Here is a 21,164-nt window from a genome sequence, read left to right as displayed (position 1 = left end):
GGGCTCAAGTGATCTGCCCGCACTGGTCTCTCTAAGTGTTGAGATTACAGGCATGAGCCACTGTGCCCTGGCCTCGTGCATGAAACAAAGTTTTGACTGTGACCACATGGGGTCAGGTGGGGAATCATGTTGGTGCTGAAAAATGTTCAGATTTGGGGCATTTTGGATTTCAGATTAGGGATGCGTGACCTGCATTTACCCTGTCTTGTTATATGATGGTCATACATGGGTGTAGTATGCAGGCTCATTTTTACTTAAAAAATACTTTCAAGAGGAAAAATTTGACAATCATACAGCAATTACCATTTTTTAAAAAGGAAATCATTTTTTTCTTAAATGGTTTAAAGGGTTGCTCTGTAATCTAGCTTGTGTTATTTAAATGCTGAGTAAGTCCTTCCCTTCAAAGATCACTCTGATGATAAAGCATAAAGCTTCCTGCCACAAATACAGGAAGTATGAAATACTGCACTCCAGCCCGGGTGATGGAAAGAAACCCTGTCACAAAACAAAACAAAAAACATCGTATGAAATTACCTTCATGCTATGTGAATAAGGTATATATGAAACATAAATGAATTTTGTGAGGCTAAAATTAGGAAGGTACTGTTGGTCTGACATAGCTGCTGCCAAGAAGGCTGCTGAAAGGCTGGCTGTGTGGGGGCAATGGCGACTCCTCTCAGGCTCTGTCTGTCACGGAGAGGGTGACATGAAATAATGCTTATCAATGTTAGCTATCCTCATCATTATTGTTATTCAAACAGCTACTACCACATCCTTGCCATCTGATTATGTTCATCTCTGCCCATTTAAAAGTTTTCCAAACTAGACGAACTTATCATTAATACCTATACTTAATATAATGCCCCACTATCCCTCCCCCGCTAGGAGTTGTATCACATGGACGGGGGCGGCTTAGAATCAAGGACTGTTACATTGAGTTCTGCTCAGGCTGGGTCTTTTGCCTTCTTCTTCTTCTTCACCTCGTGTTAGTGATATTGAAACGACAATAATAAATACACAACCTACTTTTTCAAGTCAGACCCTGCCAGAACTATGCCTAAGACTATCCAAGGCTCAGAAGAATTTTGAATTTACCCAGATTCAGGGTCCTTCACTGGCTTCATGGGTTACGGAGAAGTAAGTGCTCTCCACAGATAGCCCAGCCCCAGGAAGTGAAACACCTCATTATTGATTAAGCCCAAACGGCTCCTGACAGCCGTAACAGAAGAAAAGGTTTTCTGTTGTGGCTTTTAAAACAAAAAACAGATCACAGAACAGAAACACTGATTGTAGTTTCAGTTATCAGGAGCTTTGGACTATGTACTAGAAAGGTCTTGTTTCAACCAAATTGCAGCTTACATGAAAAGATAAATTGTGTGAGTTTGTTTGTTTTTTAAAAACTGTTGGGAGGCTACGAATTTAAATAGCCAAAGGATGCCAGCCAAGAGTGAAAGAACGCAAACTGGGGTGAAATCACAAGGCCTTGCACCATCTTTGTTTGAAAAAGTGGGATTCAGTTGTCTGATACCCAGTCAGCTTACATTTCAAACAGTAAACCACCTGGGAGCCGGGCACTACACAAAGGCGTGAGCTCATCTCTTCAGACCACGGCTCTCAAGTGGCATTTGTCCACGTCTTCGTCCACCTGTCTCAGCCCTTCTGACTTTCAGTTGCCTCAATTCCCATTTCTGCTGACCCAATTGCTGTGTTCTGGTCATGTGGACACAAAGATCCCTGATGGAGGACTCTGGAGAGCCAGGTCCCATGGGGACACATGAATCAGGAAAGAAGGGGCCCCTGCCTTAAGGCTCTCAGGTGTTCTGATGCCTGAGTTGGTCACCTTGCCATCTGTCTTAGCTGCTTGGGTTGCCATAACAAAATACCACAGACTGGGTGGCTTCAACAATAGCTCTCTTTTTCTCATGGTTCTGAGGGCTGGGAAGTCCAAGATCGAGGGGCCAGCCTATTTGGTTTCTGGCAGGGCCCTCCTGCTGGCTTACATACAGACAGCTGCCTTCTCGTGTCCTCACATGGCAGAGGGAGGAGAGCAAGCTCCCTCCTGTCTCTTCTTCTAAGGAGTGACAGACAGAAACAGTATCCCTAACACAAGGGGACAGCTACTATAATCGAGGCATGTCTAGAGTGTGAAGGCTTCGGAAAGGATGGGAATGTGTTAGATGGGAGAGGAAACAACATATTAGGCAGCAGGAACAGTGTTTAACAACGACGCAGAGGCACGACACCGTGTGAAGGTGCTAAGGAGTCCAGTGTGAAGGAAGATGGGCTTGGAAAGACAGGGTTGGACGGGAAGTGACCCGTCTGCTTACTGTGCTGAATTCTTCCAGCTGGGCTCCAACCTGGGCTGCCCCCACACTGGAGTGTGCTACTCTACCCTTTCAAGTATGAAGGAGGGGTTTGGTTGAACCCATGCCGGCAATATGGGGGACTGGGTATACATCCAGAGAAAGGAATAGCAGAATGGAGAAAGATTTGCAGAAAGGCAGCTAGAACAAGAACACACAAGTCCTCAAGGGCGAGGACTGTTCTCTACAGAGCAGCCAGTTATTTTATTAAGCAAAGGCCAAGTCCTGTCCCTCCACTCCAAACCCCTCAATGGCTTCTTACCTCACTCAGAGTAAAAACCAAGCTCTTTCCCAGGAATGTCCTGGCCTCTGGACGTTTGCACTTGCTGTTCTCTCTGTCTGAAAGGTTCTTCCCCAGGAAATGGCATGGTTCTCTCCCCCATTTCCTTCAGGACCTTCTCAAAAGCCACTCTTCCCCAGCCCTCCTTATCTAAAATGTTAATGTTCACCCCGGACATTTCATACCCCACCTTTCCTGCTTCATTTTTTTCCTTCCCAAACACTAATCACTAAGGTTCTTTACATTTTACTTCTTATTATCTGTCTCCCCCCGGGTTATAATGTATGCCACACGAGGGTGAGGATTTTGTCTGTCTGGTCCAATGCTGTATCACCAGCATCTTAAACAGTGCATGGCACATAGTATAAGATGCTCAATATATACTTGCTGAATATGCGAAAAAAGGAGTGTCTTCACAGTCCTCCAGCTCTCTGGAGCCAGGCAGAGAAATAAATGCACAAAGGACCACTTAAAGAGTGATGTAGGGCCAGGCATGGTGGCTCATGCCTGTAATCCCAGCACTCTGGGATCACTCAAGGTGGGCAGATCACTCAAGGCCATGAGTTCAAGACCAGCCTGGGCAACACGGCGAATCCCCATCTCTACAAAAAATACAAAAACTGCTGGGCGTGGTGGCACACACCTGTGGTCCCAGCTACTCTGGAGGCTGAATTAGGAGGATCACCTGAGACCCAGGAGGTCGAGGCTGCACGCTGCGAGCTGAGATCGCACCACTGCACTCCAACCTGGGCAACAGAGGGAGACCCTGTCTCAAACAAAACAAAACACAACACAACAAAACAAAAACAATCCTCATAGTCCTAATAAGGTGGGCATTATTATTAGCTGCATTTTGCAGAGGAAGAACAGAGGCTCAGCAATGTGAAAGAGTTTAGCCAAGTGGCAGAGCTGGGATTTTTGTTTGTTTCGTTTTAGATAGTTTTCTTGTTAAGCACGTGGAAATACTTTGCACATTTGAGAATTACTGACTTCTTAAATGCTCTTTTGGAGAAACAGCGAATCATTCATGTAATATAAACACAATTACAGATTATTTTGCAGGAACTTTTTTAGTTATGGGGCTTACTTTTCATAAGATAAATAATAGTTCCTGCTTTCAAATCATTTTGACAATTTATTTGGAGGATCATAAATTTAAATTGAACAGCACAATTAATGTAATAAATGACACACTCATTCAGAACTTTGAGTATTCATAGTTTTAATATTCTATTCTAAAAATAATGTATTTTAAAAATGGATACATAATTATACCTATTTACAGGATACATGTGATATTTTGATACAAGGATACAATGTGTAATGATCAAATCAGGATGATTAGGATATCCATCACCTCAAATATATATCGTTTCTTTGTGTTGGCAACATTTCACATCTTGCAGTTATTTTGAAATATACAATAAATTACTGTTAACTATAGTCATCCTACTGGGCTATCAAACACTAGAACTTATTCCTTCTAACTGCATTTTTATATCCATTTAAGCATCCTCTCTTAATCCCCCATCCCCCTTCAGTTGGGATTTTAAACCAATTGTACCAATTCCAAAGTCCATGCTCTGACCCGCCCTGCTATGACATGAGGAATGCAGAAGGGAGAACAAGTCACGTGGGCTACTCTCCCTGGGGAGACACCCATACTGGGTCTTGAAGACCAGGAGCCTCTGCATGGGGGACTTGGCAAATGAAGGGGATGGCCAGCACAGGGGCCTGCCTAGAGTGGAAGATGCATCTTAGATCATTTCAATAATAACACCAACAACAGTAGCAAATTGACTACTTACAACCTGCCAGGTACTGTTATGAGGTCTCTAACATACTGAATCATCTCATGACTCAAAGTACCATCATTATCCCCATTTTATGGTCAAGGAAACTAACAATGGAGAAGTTAAATATTTGCTTGTAAGCAGCAGAGCTGGGATTTGATTCCAGACAGTTTGGCTCCAAGTTTGTCCTGTACATACTATACACTAGCAAGAAAAAAAAAGGCCATCAAAACACACATGGCACAACCATGCACATGCGCAGTCCCCAAGGGCATGCCTCAAAAGTACTCAGTTGGTTTCTCTGGGCACGTCCCACAGTTCCTTTCGGTACAGCTGCATTCTGTACTTTCCCCATCCCCGCCCCCTGTCCTGGATGTATTTGTTATGAGGCTGTCTCCCAAAGGCCTGTGATCTAATGGCAAGCATTTTCCCCTGAAGACGCTAGCATCAATTAGTGGTGAAATTTAAATCTGCCACGCAGAAAGCACTCTACTCATTTACCCAGGCAAATGAGCTGCATAGGGGGAAGGTCACAGCCTAAGTATTCTGGCAAAGGCCGTTTGATAGAGGGCTTCCATTTGCAGCTGAGGAGCTGAGGGTAACCTCTGACCTGCAAATGATGGAGACAAACTGGTCCACAGCTGCCGGGCTCCACATTCGCCCTGTAAAGGGACTGGGGTAAGAGCCTCATTTCTTGACTTGCTCTCTTTCCTCTCCTCACAAACTGCCCACAAGGCTGAACCTTTCATTTTGGAGTCTTGGTGAAGACTTGTCTCACTGCTAGGTGTTCTTGTTGACACCTACTTCTCTGTGCCACAAATGGCCAGCATTTCATCAGAGAGCACTGTCCTATGATGGCCCGGCAGGTAAAAACCATGGGGTCATCAAGATGTGTGCAAACCACAGACTCAATGCAAAACCACAGAGAGAGCCACAGCGAGGTAATGGAGGGCCAGCCAGGCCTCAGTAGATGGCAACGATCCAGCTGGGGCAAGAATGTGGTGATAGCTTTGGGGAACCCACACTCACCCTGCCAGAATCACTCCTTCAGCCCCGAAGATACAAAAACACACCACCACAAGCTCAGTAACACAGAGAGATCCCCTGACTGCCTCTGCCATCAGCCTCAGAGATTATTACCCCTTCAGGGACTGATACGTGCTTGGAGACATCATTTAAATCATTGTGTCCAACATGCTAAACTGAATTATTCAAAACTGCCTCCCTTCTAGGTATACACACCAATGTAAGTGCACACATATGTACACCAAAATTCATGTACAGGAATGTTCACAGCAGCACTATTCATAACTGCCCCAAACTGGAAAGTACCCAAATGTCCAGGAAGAGTGGAAGAAAGAAAGAAATTGTGGAATATTCACATGATGAAAGTCTACATAGCAATGAGAACGAACCATTTACAATCATACACAACCATGGATGAATTTACGGATTTAATCATGTAGCTGAATCTCATAATGTTAAGTGAAAGAAGCCAGGTACAAAAATGTGCATTTGGTATGATTCCATTTTTAAAATACAAAAGCAGGCAAAAGTATTCCATACCATTGGATGCCAGGATACTGGTTATCCTTTGTTGAGGGATGAAATGACGAGGGGCCTTTGGGGGTGGCCGTCTTCTGTTTTCCTGACCTATGCAACCAGTGCCCAGATGGGTGTGCTTTTCTTAGTGTGTGTTATATTTCAAGGAGAAGTTTTAAAAACTGCCTACAGACACTGCCCAGTCTCATCCATTACTGTTTTGGGGAAACGTCCCATTGGGATTTCCACACCACAGCAGGTCAGTGACAGGAGCTACCAAAATAATGGCTAACATTGACCGAATGATCACTATGTGCCAGGCACTACTCCAAGAACATTACAAACAGGATTTAATTGTCAAAAACTCCCTTTGAAAGAGTTGTTATTTTAATTCCCAATTTGAAGGAACAGAAAAATGAGGCTTAGAAAGTTTAGGTGTCTTGCCTATGGTTGGCCAGCTACTCCTGCCTGGCAAAGGTGGGGTGTCAGCTGTGACTCCAAGTTTCATGGGTTTCACATCTGACTAGGCTAGTGGAAAACGAGTTCACGGTACAAATGGAGAAGTCACATGAGACCCCTTTTTTGTTGAGTTCAGGCCACTTGTTTTATAAATGTATCATATTCTGGGTTTGTCTGATTGCTTCTCCCTGATAAAATTCAGGTGAAATATTTTTGGCCAGGAGGCACAACACAATGTCGGGTTCATCCAGTAGAGATGCTGAGTGTAACTACTTTGGTAAGGTGGTAATACCCAGATCTTTAAATTATAAAGGTGTGGTCCCCCTTTGTAACTAGTAGTTAATGCGCTAGATGATATTTTGAAATTATATAAACAGCAAGTTTCTTCAAAACTGTTCCCCAATGACTTCTTTTTTGTTTTGTTTTTAAAAATCAACTTTATTGAGGTATAATTTATATACAGTAAACTGTATCCATTTAAAGTATACCATCTGATAATTTTTTTTTTTTTTTTGAGACGCAGTCTTGCTCTGTTGCCCAGGCTGGAGTGCAGTGGCACGATCTTGGCTGGCTACAAGCTCCGCCTCCCGGGTTCACGCCATTCTTCTACCTCAGCCTCCCGAGTAGCTGGGACTACAAGCGCCCGCCACCACTCCTGGCTAATTTTTTGTATTTTTAGTAAGGACGGGGTTTCACTGTGTTAGCCAGGATGGTCTTGATCTCCTGACCTTGTGATCCACCTGCCTCGGCCTCCCAAAGTTTTGGGATTACAGGCGTGAGCCACCGCGCCTGGCCCGATAATTTTGAAATATGTAATACATGAGTGAAATGATCACAATTAAAATATGGAATACTTCCACCACCCACAAAAGTTTTCTATTGTCTCTTTGCAATCGATTCTTCTTGCCATCCCAGCTTCCAGGCTACCACTGGTTGGCTTCACATTAGTAGGTTAGTGTGCATTTTCCAGAACTTTCTAGAAAGGGAACCGCGGTTCATGGTCTTGTGTGTCTGGCTTCCATCACTCTCAGAAGCATAATTTTGAGATCCCACTGTTGTTACACACAGCGTACTTATTCCCTTTAATGAATGAGAAGTATTCCATCAGATGGATGGACCTACTGGTCTATTCACCTGGTGGTGGACATCTGGGTGGCTCCTAGTTTGGGGCTGTCATGAACAAAGCTGCTAGAAACAGCTGAGTACAAGTCTTAGTGTGAACGTATGTTTTCATTTTTCTTGGGCAAATACCTAGAAGTGGGATGGTAAGTGTATGTTTAGCTTTTTTTCCTTGCATGTAAGATAATGTGTCAGAACAAGGTTTGAAAGAGGCACTTCTCACACATGAGCATGAAAACCCAATGTGATATGATACATAGGTTTTTGTCTACAGTTCTTGTTTCCTAACTCCCACAGCCCTTGTTATAGTTTTTTGTTATAATGTTGGGTGTGTTAGGCCCCAAGGGCAGGTATCGGGAAACACAATCTCTCTCCTGTCCTCCTTTCACCTGCCACAAGGCAGGACTCTAATCTTCCCCCACCTTCCAACTGTGAGTCTTAAGACCCTCCCCTGCGAGGGTCCCACCCTATACCCTGGGGGAAGGAATGCTGATGTCATAAAACTTCCATAAAACCCAAGAGGACAGGGTTCAGAGAGCTTCCAGATAACTGAACACTGGAGGTTCCTGGTGCCCAGGGAGGGCATGGAAGCTGCACGACCTTCCCCTGTACCTCGCCCTACCCACATCTCTTCATCTGTATCCCATGTAATATTCTTTATAATAAACCAGTAAATATAAGCAAGTGTTTCCCTAAGTTCTGTGAACTGCTCCAGAAATTAACTGAACCCAAAGAGGGGGTCATGGGAACCCCAGCTTGAAGCCGGTCAGTCAGAAGTTCCAGAGGCCTGCACTTGCAACTGGTGTCTGGGGATGTGGAGGGCAGTCTTGGGTGCTGAGCCCCCAACCTGCAGGATCTGACACTATCTCTAGGTAGACGGTTTTGGAATTGAACCGGAGGACACCCAGCTGGTGTCTGGTGCCTGGTGTGTGGGGAAAGCACCCCACACATTTGGTCACATAAGTCTTCTGTGTTGGTGATTGTTGTGGTGGTGTGAGGCTAGAGGAAAAATGGGGTTGGAGTTTTTCCCTGTACACCCCATCATCACACTTATGAACTATAAAAGGATCTATTTAACTTTTTAATAAACTGCCAAAGAGTTTTCCAAAGTGACTCTGCCCTTTTACACTCCCTTCGGCAATGTGAGGATTCTAATTGCTCCATATCCTCACCAACACTGGGTCCTGTGTGTTATTTTATTCCCCAATAATTTTAAAATCCAATAACATTCCTTGTCTGAAGAATTATGCATTCATGTGATTATATCTATCTCCCCCACGCCCAGACACATGGGGGCTATCTGAGTTCAAAACAGTGCCTAGCATATAGTAGGTGCTTAATTAATATAAAGTCAATAAATACTCATTTAATGAACAAGATCTGCCATCCACCCCCACAAAAAAGATGGTAAGTGAATTAAGCTTAAAGCTATTAAAGAGTTATCTGGAAGTTTGTCTTCCTACAACCACGTGATCCTCTCTCTGGGATTTCCCCACTCAACCAGGGACAAGAGGTCAAAGTTGACCTGATTATGTGTCCATCAAGGAAGTGCCCCTGGAAGGCAAATAAAGAAGGCACCATTTACATTACAGTCTCCTAAGTGCAGGCAATGATACCCCAAGGTGGGGCTCTGCAGACCCTCCAGCAAAGAGCTTTTGAAAATAAATGTGAAGCTGGGCTTAGGAGCTCATGCCTGCAATCCCAGAGACTAGGGAGGCTGAGAAGGGAGGATCGCTTGAGGTCAGGAGTTAGAGACCAGCCTGGGCAACACAGCAAGACCCCATCTCAAACACACACACACACACACACAAAACAAAAACAAAAACAAAACAAAACAAAACAAAAAAACCAAGCCAGGCATGGTGGCATACTTCTGTAGTCCCAGCTACTTGGGAGGCTGAGGCGGGAGGATCGCTTGAACCCAGGAGTTCAAGGCTGCAGTGAGCTGTGATTGCACCACTGCACTGCAGCCTGGGTGACAGGGTAACCCCATTTCTGAAAAAAAGTAAAAAATAAGAAAAAGAAAATAAATGTGAACTTCAGCTAAATTACTATGACAGGTAGGTGCTGCCCTGAGAGGCAGAGCCTGGGTTCTGCCACCGGATTTTATGCAGGACTCCTCTCAAGGTTTTATATACAGGGAAGGGAATATCAATGCTGCCACCTTTTTTCCAGCCAGACTAACCCTGAACTTTACTGACACTGAGGTCCTCCCCACAGTGACAGAGGACTGAGATGTACCCTGACCCCTCCCAAGGGCTAGCTTCCTACCACACCCATGTTCTTAGAGCAAAACACCATCTCTTATGGGATCATATATGACGGAGTGCCCAGAGCCAGGCCTAGGCCATATCAACGCTCAAGAAACATGTATGGAACAGAAAGCGGGGTGAGGGAACACCTGCCAGGCCTTCCTTGACTTCAGACAGCTTTTCATTCCAGAGGGACTAACTGAAAGTCAGCTGCACTAACAAAACTGTGTCCTGGCAGTTATTTATATAGAATAGTTTGAATACATCATAACTCAAGAGAGAAGATGGGTGCCTTCTGCCCCAGTAAAACTGTTTCTCCCTAGGCACAATTCCTCTTCTCGGCCTCTACAGCACTGGCTAGAGATGTGGAGGGTTGGTCATCTCAGTAAGCAAACCAATTAAGAAAGGACTGGGGCCAGGGAAATCATTTCCTCACTGTTGCCATGCCTCCTCTCACACTGCCAAAAGCAGAGGTTAAAAATCACAGAAACAGGGAACGAAGTCTGGCCTCACATATTATTCAAAGAAAGCATGCGTAGAGAATGCTATTTCTAGTTAAATAGCAAGTGAGGCTGAGGAGAGGCTGGGGACCCGGGAACACACACAGCAGAGCCAAGGCAAGTGGGGCACTAGGATTCTGTCTCCAGAACGCTGAGACCGTCCCGGGTGGGCAGGTGTGACGACACTTGGAAGCTGCCTCAGGGGGTTCCTATGCTGTCAGATTTCTTGAATCCTAGGAAGGCTTGACTCAAATTTGGCCCTGAGACCCAGGATTTAAAACCTCAGTCTTGTGACCACCATGAGCTATCAAGAGTGTACTTTACCCTGAGAAATTATTCTCAGGAGGATTGTGAGCCAGCTCTAAAAGTAACCTCTTGCCCCATTCCAGAGAGGTACACTGAATTGAATAATTCTACTTCCTGCTGTGCATCAGAGAGCTCAGATGAGCTTGGCCAATGTTCTCTGTCATTAGGAGCCACACTGCTGCAGAAGGGAGCAGTGACTCCATTGCCTCAACCAATTTTCCACAAAGATGAAAACTGGAGGAAAAAAAGCATTCAAGCTAGAAATAGAAAGTTAGTCTGACTCTTAAGCTCCCCCTCAACCCCGCCTCCTAAGCTCCCCCTCAACCCCGCCTCCTTCCCACTCTCAGTGGCGGTCCCAGAGCAGCTGTGGCAGTGACATGCCCTCATCCAGCCTTTCCATGTAACCGGAGCTGAGAGAGTGAAAGTCGAATATCCTATTAGCACAGCAAGCACAGAGGGTGTCCGGGGCTGGGCTGTCCTAAAAGCATCTGCAGATCAATCTGAAAGCTGTTCTACTCTCTGGTCATTTCTTGACCACATTCTGATTTTCAGAAGTATGAACAAGGGTAAATGAACTGGTCAGAAAGCTCAGGAAAGAAGACAGGTGCAAATCAGAACCAATTTCCCTCACAATGTAGGAGCTAACCTGAGAAGGGAAAATATCGGGGAGGAGTCTCAACACAGCGCCCTGCTTGTAAACATCAGGAGCAGTAAATTGAGGTAAGAAAGTGATGATCTTTTTTCTTGTGATCTGTGTTTAGAAGGATTTGGCACTTTACTCACAAACTAAGGGGCTGGGAGATGCCAGTCACAGGAAACTGCCACGTGCCACCTCTGCAAACAAGGCTTCTCTTCCCACACTTCCAGAGACCCTCCTCTCATACCAGCTCTTGCATCCTCTCCTCACATCAAAAACCAAAATCCAATTGGCCTGGAGGTGGAATTCAGAAGTGACGCCCAAGATATCATGTTCTGCTAAAACAGACAATGAGCTGCGGAACAGCACAGAGATGATCTCATACTCAGACTTCAATGTTTTGGGGGACTAGCATTAGCAGGAAGCATAATCTGTACATTAATGAGATGACTCCTGGAGACTGGGATTATAAAGAATTTTTACTTTCTGTCCTACATATCTATAATGATTAATTTGTTTTACAGTGAGCAAGTATATTACTTTTTTTTTTTTTTTTTTGAGACAGGGTCTTACTCTGTCGCCCATGCTGGAGTGCAGTGGCATGATCTCAGCTTACTGTAACCTCAACCTTCTGGGCTCAAGCGATCCTCCTACCTCAGCCTCTGAGTAGCTGGGACTACAGGCATGGACCATCATGTATGGCTAATTTTTGTATTTTTGGTAGAGACAGGATTTTACCATGTTGCCAGGGTTGGTCTTAAACTAATGGGCTTGAATGCTACTCCTGCCTTGCTGTCTCAAAGTGCTGGGATTACAGGCATGAGCCATCATGCCTGGCCATCTATTACTTTTGTAATCAGATAAAAAATATTTTTAGAGTGATGGGATAGTTCAAGTCCCGATTTATCAATGGCTATGCCACCCTCCTCCCCACGGCAAGGTTTTGGTCTCGCTCATCTTCTCCACTCCCGCTGGCCGTGCCCTGGCTGTGCAGACAGGTGAGTGGGCAGCATCAAAGGCCCTGCGGCATAAATTTCTTTCCTATCCTCATCTTAGCAGTGCAAACTCCCAAGCTCTGCCTTCACAAGTGATGATGCAATGTTTTATTTTGCAGGACAAGCCTTAAAGTGCCAAGGTACATGAAATGGACACAAAAACAGGGACACAAAGACTTCTGACTTTGGACTGCTTTGACCAGGCCTGGCAAACAAGTTTCATTGGGAATGTCATCTCTAATCAGCTAGGACTCCCTGCCTGGAATACTACATGGAAACTGTGTGGTCATATGGCCATTCCAACCATGAGCAAGAGAGAGAGATGGGGTGAGAGGGCAGGTGGCAGCACCAGCTTTCCCTAAGCAAAGTGCAAGCCCACTATCTGTCAGTCAAAGTTGGGGAAAACACTAGCTCACAATTCGTTCAATTATTCAATACAACCCTATGGAGCCCGTAAGCCCAATTCATACGTGTGCCCTGTCCAGAAAGGGAGGCAGCAGTCCCGCGTCCACCACCTGCAGGGTGCTCAACCCCCTGCTCAGTCAGAGGCCACACTTGGTCCTGGAAGGCAGCTGAGGATGCTGAAGAGGTCCAAAGAGCACATTACATGAAGAGGACATTCTGCAAGACAACTGACTAGGCTTTTCAAAAAAGGTCATCATTGGCTGAGTGTGGTGGAGCATGCCTGTAGCACTCAGGAAGAAAAGGAGGAAGGATCACTTGAGCCTAGGAGTTAGAGGCTGCCGTGAGCTACGACTGCACCATTGTACTCCAGCCTCAGTGACAGAGTGAGACTCTGTCTCTTTAAAAAAAAAAAAAAAATCACATTATTAAAACAAGCCAGAGAGGACTGTTCTGGACGGCAAGGGCCTAAAGAGGCAAAGCCAAGTGCAGTGTGACTATTGATTGAATCCTAGTACAAAAAGCTCAGCTATAACATATAGTTTTACGTCAAATGAATAAATTTTAAAATGAACTGTATGTGAAATGATACTACTGAATTAATGGTAATTTTTTCTTTTCCTTTTTTTTTTTTTTTTTTTTCTGAGACAGGGTCTTGCTCTGTTGCCCAGGCTGGATTGCAGTGGTGCGATCAGAGCTCAGTGCAGCCTTGGAACTCCTGGGCTCAAACAATCCTCCTGCTTCAGCCTCCCAAATAGCTGGGATCACAGGTGCACACCACTATGCCTGGCATGCATGCATGCTTTATTTATTTATTTATTTGGAGACAGAGTCTTACTTTGTCGCCCAGGCTGGAGTGCAGTGGTGCGATCTCGGCTCACTGCAACCTCCGCCTCGTGGGTTCAAGTAATTCTCCCACCTCAGCCTCCCGAATAGCTGGGATTACAGGCATGTACCACCAAGCCCAGCTAATTTTTGTATTTTTAGTAGAGATGGATGGGGTTTTGCCATGTTGGTCAGGCTGGTCTGGAACTCCTGACATCAAGTGATCACCCACCTCGGCCTCCCAAAGTGCTGGGATTACAGGTGTGAGCCACTGCACCCGGCCTCTTCTGCCTCATCTAAGAGGGCTATGTTAAAAAAATGTTGAAAGCTAGCTTACCTCATACTCTGAATTATGTGAAAATAAATATATGTGTATATGCAGAGAAATAAGACTACAAGAAACATCTCAAATCATTAACGGTGGTTTTCACTAAGTAGCAGATCACGAATCTTTGAGTTCCTCTTCACAGTTCTTGCCATTTGTCCAATTTCTACAATGAACTTGCTTTAATTTTATAAAAGGGAGAAAAAGTTTTCTTAGGAAATAAGGGTACACAAAGACATCCCTCCAATGCACACTAAGCTCACAGATACCAGGTTTAATTTTTCTTCTGAAATTCCATAAAAGTACAAACTAATGCCAACAAGGGGAAATATATGGTCATTTTTTTCTTGAAGAAAGACGAAAATGGAATTAAGGTGTTCCAGATTGAAAACCACTCATTCAATCTATCTTTTTTTTTTTTTTTTTTTTTTTTAAAGAGACAGGGTCTCTGGCTGGGTCCAGTGGCACATGCTTATAATCCCAGCACTTTGGGAGGCCAAGGTGGGAGGATGGCTTAAGGCCAGGTGTTTGAGACCTGCCTGGGCAACATAGTGAGACTTTGTCTCCACAAAAAATACAAAAATTAGCCAGACATGGTGGCACATGCCTGTAGTCCCAGTTACTCAAGAGGCTTGAGGCCAGAAAGGTGAGGCTGCAAGTGAGCTATGACTGCACCACTGCACTCCAGACTGGGCAACAGAGCGAGACCCTGTCTCTTTCTCTCTCTCTTTTGTTTTTTAAGAGACAGGGTCTCGCTCTGTTGCCCAGGCTGGAGTGCAGTGGTATGATCACAGCTCACTTGCAGCCTTGAACCTTTGGCCTCAAGCAATTCTCCCACCTCGGCCTCCAGGGTAGCTGGGACCACAGATGCGTGCCACCATGCCTGGCTAATTTACAATAATCAATTAATGTATATGCTGTATCGGGCTCTAGGGAGACAAGGAGAACAGAGAATCCTGTTTTCAGGAAGGTGAAATTTGGCTGAGAAGAACTACCAGGGAGGTTAAATTCAAAGTGCTATTAGGAGTAGGAGTCTCTTGAAGAATAAGGATAAGTTCCACAGGCAAAAAGGAATGGGGGACAAATTTTAAACCACACAAGGGGAATGCCCTAAGGCAAAGAAATACTAAGAAATTCTGCTTGGTTCACATCCTTCTGATAAATCGCATTCTTGTAGAACAATTTTAAAATTAATACTTGAAGCAGCATAAAACAGAAAGAAAGGGGTGAAAGAAGGGAGTGGGAGAGGGAAAAAAAAGGAGGGTGGGAAGGAGGGCAGGGGACAATGGCATAGTAACAGTCTTGCTGTTCCTGAGTCCGGGAAGGAGGATTATGAGTGCGACCTGCATCTGGTAGGCAACAAAGAAGCAAGGATGGGTTTTCAGCAGATAAACTGTCATACCCATAGACTGGACTGAGAAGGTGGGTGATGGTGGGCAGCAGAGATGAAGTGGAGGGGACAGAGCAAAGGCATTGCTGCCCTGTGGTATCTGCCAGAAGTGCAAACCCAGAACTTGATCACGATGAAATATCCAAAAAACTAAAACAAAGCCAAGGCCGGGCACAGTGGCTCACGCCTGTAATGCCAGCACTTTGGGAGGTCGAGGCTTGTGGATAGCTTGAGCTCAGGAGTTTGAGACCAGCCTGGGAAACACAGAAACCCCATCTCTACCAAAAATACAAAAAATTAAAAAAAAAAAAAAAAGGGAAAACAAAGCTAAGCTGAGGAACACCCTACAAAATAACTGATTGGTGATTTTATTTTTTTGGTTTTTTGGTTTTTGAGATGGAGTCTAGCTCTGTCGCCAGGCTGGAGTGCAGTGGCGTGATCTCGGCTCATTCCAACCACTGCCTTCTGGGTTCAAACGATTCTCCTGCCTCAGCTTCCCGAGTAGCTGGGACTACAGGTGCGTGCCACCATGCCCAGCTAATTTTTTTTTTTTTTTTTTTGAGACACAGTTTTGCTCTTGTTGGCCAGGCTGGAGTGCAATGGTGCGATCTTGGCTCACCGCAACCTCCGCCTCCCAGGTTCAAGCGATTCTCCTGCTTCAGCCTCCCGACTAGCTAGGATTACAGGCATGCACCACCAAGCCTGGCTAATTTTATATTTTTAGTAGAGACTGGGTTTCTCCATGTTGGTCAGGCTGGTATCGAATTCCTGATCTTCCGCCTCAGCCTCTCAAAGTACTGGAACTACAAGCGTGAGCCACCGCCCCGGCCTAATTTTTTGTATTTTTAGTAGAGACGGGGTTTCACCATGTTGGCCAGGATGGTCTCGATCTCTTGACCTCATGATCTGCTTGCCTCGGCCTCCCAAAGTGCTGGGACTACAGTCGTGAGCCACTGTGCTGGGCCAGATTTGACCACTAAATGTAACGTGTGGTCCAGGATAAGGTCCTGGACCAAAACAGTGTTTTGTCTGTTGCTATAAAGGAAGGTAGTGGGAAAACTGATGAAATGAGAATGTCTATAGATTAGATTACAGACAGATTAGTACTAGATCAATGTTGATTTCCTAATTTTGATAAATGCACAGTGGTTCTATAAGAGAATGTTTTTGGGAAATACCCACTGAAGTATTTAAAAGTAAAGGTGCAGGCCGGGCATGGTGGCTCACGCCTGTAATCCCAGCACTTTGGGAGGCCAAGGCGGGTGGATTGCTTGAGGTCAGGAGTTTGAGACGAGCCTGGCCAACATGGTGAAACTCCATCTCTACTAAAAATACAAAAAAAATTAGCCAGGTGTGGTGGTGCATGCCGGTAATCCTAGCTACTCAGGAGCCTGAGGTGGGAGGATTGCTTGAACCCAGGAGGCAGAGGTTGCAGTGAGTCTAGATCGTGCCACTGCACTCCAGCCTGGGTGACAGAGTTAGACTCCATCTAAAAAAATTAAATAATAAATAAATAAATAAATAAATAAATAAATAAATAAATAAATGTAAAGGTGCATATCACACCTGCAACTTTCAAACATTTTATAGAGACAGATAAAGGAGGAAATTAATATAAAACGAGTGTCAAAAAGATGGACACTGAAGCCAGGCATGGTAGCTCACGCCTGTAATCCCAGGACTTTAGGAGGCCAAGGTAGGAGGATCATTTGAAGCTAGGATTGTGAGACTAGCCTGGGCAATAAGTGAGACCCCTGTGTCTACAGCAGGAAAAAAAAAAGATGGACAATGAGAAACCGCTTTGGGTACAGAATGGACTAAACAAAGCTATAGATCTGTAATGATTATGCCAAGTGCTTATTACTGAGATTCAAGCCTGGGGGGAATTATTTCTCTGGTTTCCACAGAAAACCTAGGAAATAAATACAAAGTCTTTGGTGGGCTCCAACTTAAAAACTATCTTCAGGCCAGGCGCAGTGGCTCATGCCTGTAATCCCAGCACTTTGGCAGGCTGAGGTGGGCGGATCACGAGGTCAGGAGTTTGAGACAGCCTGACCAATGTGGTGAAACCCTATCTCTATTAAAAATACAAAAATTAGCCGGGCATGGTGGTGTGCACCTGTAATCCCAGCTACTCAGGAGGCTGAGGCAGGAGAATCACTTGAACCTGGGAGGCAGAGGTTGCAGTGAGCCAAGATCATGCCACTGCACTCCAGCTTGGCAACAGAGAGAGACTCCATCTCAAAAAAAAAAAAAATGCTATCTTCGGCTGGGCACCGTAACTCATGCCTGTAATCCCAGCACTTTGGGAGGCCGAGGCGGGCAGATCACCTGAGGTCAGGAGTTCAAGAACAGCCTGGCCAACATGGCAAAAACCCGTCTCTACTAAAAATACAAAAATTAGTTGGGCGTCATGGCGGGCGCCTGTAATCCCAGCTACTCAGAGGCTGAAGCAGGAGAATCGCTTGAACCTGGGAGGCGGAGGTTGCAGTGAGTTGAGATCGTGTCACTGCACTCCAGCCTGGGCAACAGAGTGAGACTCTATTTCAAAAAATAAAAATAAAAATAAAAATAAAATAATAAATAAAGCCATCTTCCCTGCTTTACAACATCCTAAGTAAATATGAACACTGTCACTCAGCTTCACACGATGCTGCTGAAATTATCAGCAGAGCCTAGTAGGCTGTCCACACCACACAATACTTAATACCACTGTAGATAATATCAGAGTTAGAAAGAACAGATTGGAAGGCTGTAATCCCTACCTTAGTTTCAAATTAGTTTAAGCCTGTGTTCCTGAGCCCAACTCCGAATGCTCAAGAACCCACCTTAGTGAAACTGGAAGGCCAAAGGGACACATGAGAGCTCAAATGAATAAAGCAAATGGTTTCAACACAAGTAAAACTTAATTATTTCAAGAACAATGCAAAAAAATTTCCCAAGACAGTCTACCTTTGTGATAGCATCAAGTTGTCAGAGGAGCGGCATAACCAGAAGATATCCCAAACATCCTAATCATTTTCTTACCTCAGAAAAAAATCCTATCAATACATGGGTCTCAGGCATCCGAACAATGCTGAGGGCTGTATTAATTTTACTAAACCAAAATGTATTATGTATCCACTATAGTACTGAGGACACAATGATAGCACAACCCTCAAGGAGTTCACAGATCTGCAGGGAACACAGGCGGGCAGGCAACTGACAGAGTGCTGATGCTCTGGTGGGTGAGGTAGCACAGAGAAAGCGCCCAAGCAGCCATAGCTGCCACCTTGAGCACAGAACAGCTCCTTCGTAGGCCAAGGCCTAATAAATGCCCAACGACAGCCTCAAAACTGCACACAAATGGAGAATCTACACATCTGACAACTGTTGGGACTGCTCAGCTCCTTCTCCAAGAGCATCTCACAATCAACAACAACTGATTCCAGAATCTCCAGATGGCTTGACCCTCCAGTAAGCATCCTGTAGACAGTGAAAGTTATAAACTGCTATGAGGTAATACTCTTACCTGTGGCTTCAATGTACTCAATACATCTTTCAATAAAAATGGGGATCGGCTTCTCTGGAGTCACGACAGTTGTTAAGGGCACCCCAAAATAGTTACTCTCCCAGGTTGCCTTTGTGATGGATGGCCGGGGTTTGGGCTTTGGTTTCTGTCCAGGAAAGAGAAAGGGAAGCACAAAAACAAAGTGAGTATCAACATGTAACTTAAACATCAGTAAGGCTTCCAGAAGGGAAGCAGTGGTATAAAAACTGCTAGAAAGAATGTCAAGAAGTGGCTGGATACGGTGACTCATGCCTGTATTCCCAGCACTTTGGGAGGCCGAGGCGGGTGGATCACCTCAGGTCAGGAGTTTGAGACCAGCTTGGCCAACATGGTGAAACCGTGTCTCTACTAAAAACACAAAAATTAGCCAGGCGTAGTGGTGGGCGCCTGTAATCCCAGCTACTTGGGAGGCTGAGGCAGGAGAATTGCTTGAACCCAGGAGGTGGAGATTGAGGTGAGCCGAGATTGCGCCACTGTATTCCAGCCTGGATGACAGAGTAAGACTCAAAAAAAAAAAAAAAAAAGATTTCAAGAAGGATTAAAAAGATTCGCTTGGCTCATCTCACTACTTTTAATTTTCTATCTTCTGGCCTCTGAATACCACACAGGATGCCAGAAAGTCACACCTTGAGTATGAGACCACATTATTAGAACAAAGATGTTTATAAGAAGCAGTCCATGTTTATGTAATAAAATAACAATACGATGATTATCTACATCCTCTACCAGGGATGCACTGGAGTAAACAGGAAGTTTTCCAAACACCCTACAAGGATAATAGATGTTACATACTCAAAGATAGCTAAAATCTTTAAAAAAAATGAAATGGAAAACAGATTATTTCCTCTTTCTAGAAAAGAGAGCAGGCATTCTGCTAGGGCTGATAGACCCAAATGAGAATGTCCTTTGATACATTAGCTTGGGGTTAATTCTCAGTTGCATCCACATTAGGAAAAGGTAAAGTCGACTAATCAAACAAGACAAATAAAGTATTTTTTTTGTCTATTTTTCCCTAGTCACCTTCTTCAAGAAGTACTAGCAGCAGCAGTAGCAGCAGCAACAGCAACCACTTGAGAACTTACTATGCACAGACTAAGTTCCAAATATTATTATTATTATTATAATTTTCAGACAGGGTCTCCCTGTGTTGCTCAGGCTGGAGTACAGTGGCACAACCACAGCTCACTGCAGCCTGGACCTCCTGGGCTCAAGTGATCTTCCTACCTCAGCATCCCAAAGCTGGGACCACAGGCATGTACCCAGGCTAATTTTTAAATTTTCTGTAGAGATGAGGGTCTCACTATGTTGCCCAGCCTGCCAAATATTATTTCTTTTAAACCTGATGACACTCAATCTTACCAAGGAAAAAATCTCTCACATGCCTAAATGACACAACTACTAAGTGACTGCTTGGATTCAAATCCAGGAAGGTTTGTCTCCAAAGCCTATGCTCATTAACATGATTAATACTGAGATACTCTGCCTCAAAAGTATTCAATCTTTTTATTTTGAACCTTAAATGGAGAAAAAATTACTCTAAACAAATGATAAATTTCCTAAAGCCAAAGAAATACACTTGAAATTTTGGCCTTTTGTTAAAATATCTACTAAAAAAGAAAAGTAACCAAATAGGATCAAGGTAAATTAGACCCAGGTGTATCTCCAGCAATCCAGTTACATTTTCCAGTTGATGAAACCAATTTAGAAAAGCAGATTTACTCAGAAATGTGCACAGCCCATAAACCTAAAGTATTTAGGGATTTTACATAAAATCCACTGAAGGAAACAACGAACCGCCAGGCCGCAGGCCACCTATTCCCTCTCCTTCTCCTGCCCATCTTCGTTCCTACCAGTACCCCTTTGTATAAGAAAAAAATCACTTCCTGTTTAGTCTGAGATTCGTTGAGAACTTCCTGTGCAAACAAATAGCAAGAAAAAAAAAGAACAGATCAGAATATAATGTACACAAGGAAAGAGCAAGATCATTCCATTTCTGGGCTGCTGGGTGAGATTACTTCAAATGACAAACCAAAGGCAATGAGAATCCAATCTTCATTCAGCCTGCTACCTGACTCAATATGGAGAATGCTATAATGTGAATGGATTCTGGGGTCTCAGGGAAGAACCATGTACTCCATAAAGCCTGTCCCCACTCACTGTGAGATACCTGCTCCTCATAAAGTAGTGGCATAGCCTCCTAGGTTCGGGGGAATGGCTGCTGCTTGCTCCCCTTATAGACTGAAGCAAACAGGCTCTGACTTCAGACTTTTTTTACCAAAGAAGTAAGGAAATGCCAATTAACGATGTATGATATACATTTACAGGAAATAATTTAACGAGTCTATACTGTGTCTCTAGCATCTTCTACTTATATGAAGTATAACATAAAGAATTTAAGGCTGGGCATGGTGGCTAATGCCTGTAAT

General features: G+C 44.4%; 1 protein-coding gene across 3 annotated transcripts in view; it reads right to left on the bottom strand.

The window, feature by feature from the left end:
- Window positions 1-21,164, bottom strand: part of ARHGAP35 (Rho GTPase activating protein 35) — a 144,081-nt gene that overhangs the window by 48,970 nt on the left and 73,947 nt on the right. For all 3 annotated transcript variants that reach the window (XR_002958305.2, NM_004491.5, XM_024451473.2), the window contains exon 3: window positions 18,700-18,844. Coding sequence is in view for 2 of the 3 variants with exons in the window: in NM_004491.5 (NP_004482.4) it covers window positions 18,700-18,844 (145 nt within the window). In the remaining variant the exon portion in view is untranslated. The remainder of the gene's footprint in view (window positions 1-18,699; window positions 18,845-21,164) is intronic.

The sequence above is a fragment of the Homo sapiens genome, chromosome 19 (genome assembly GCF_000001405.40).
Source record: "Homo sapiens chromosome 19, GRCh38.p14 Primary Assembly".
Lineage (NCBI taxonomy): Eukaryota > Metazoa > Chordata > Mammalia > Primates > Hominidae > Homo > Homo sapiens.
Note: the sequence above shows the minus strand (reverse complement) of the source record. Positions and strands in the feature narration are given on the sequence as shown.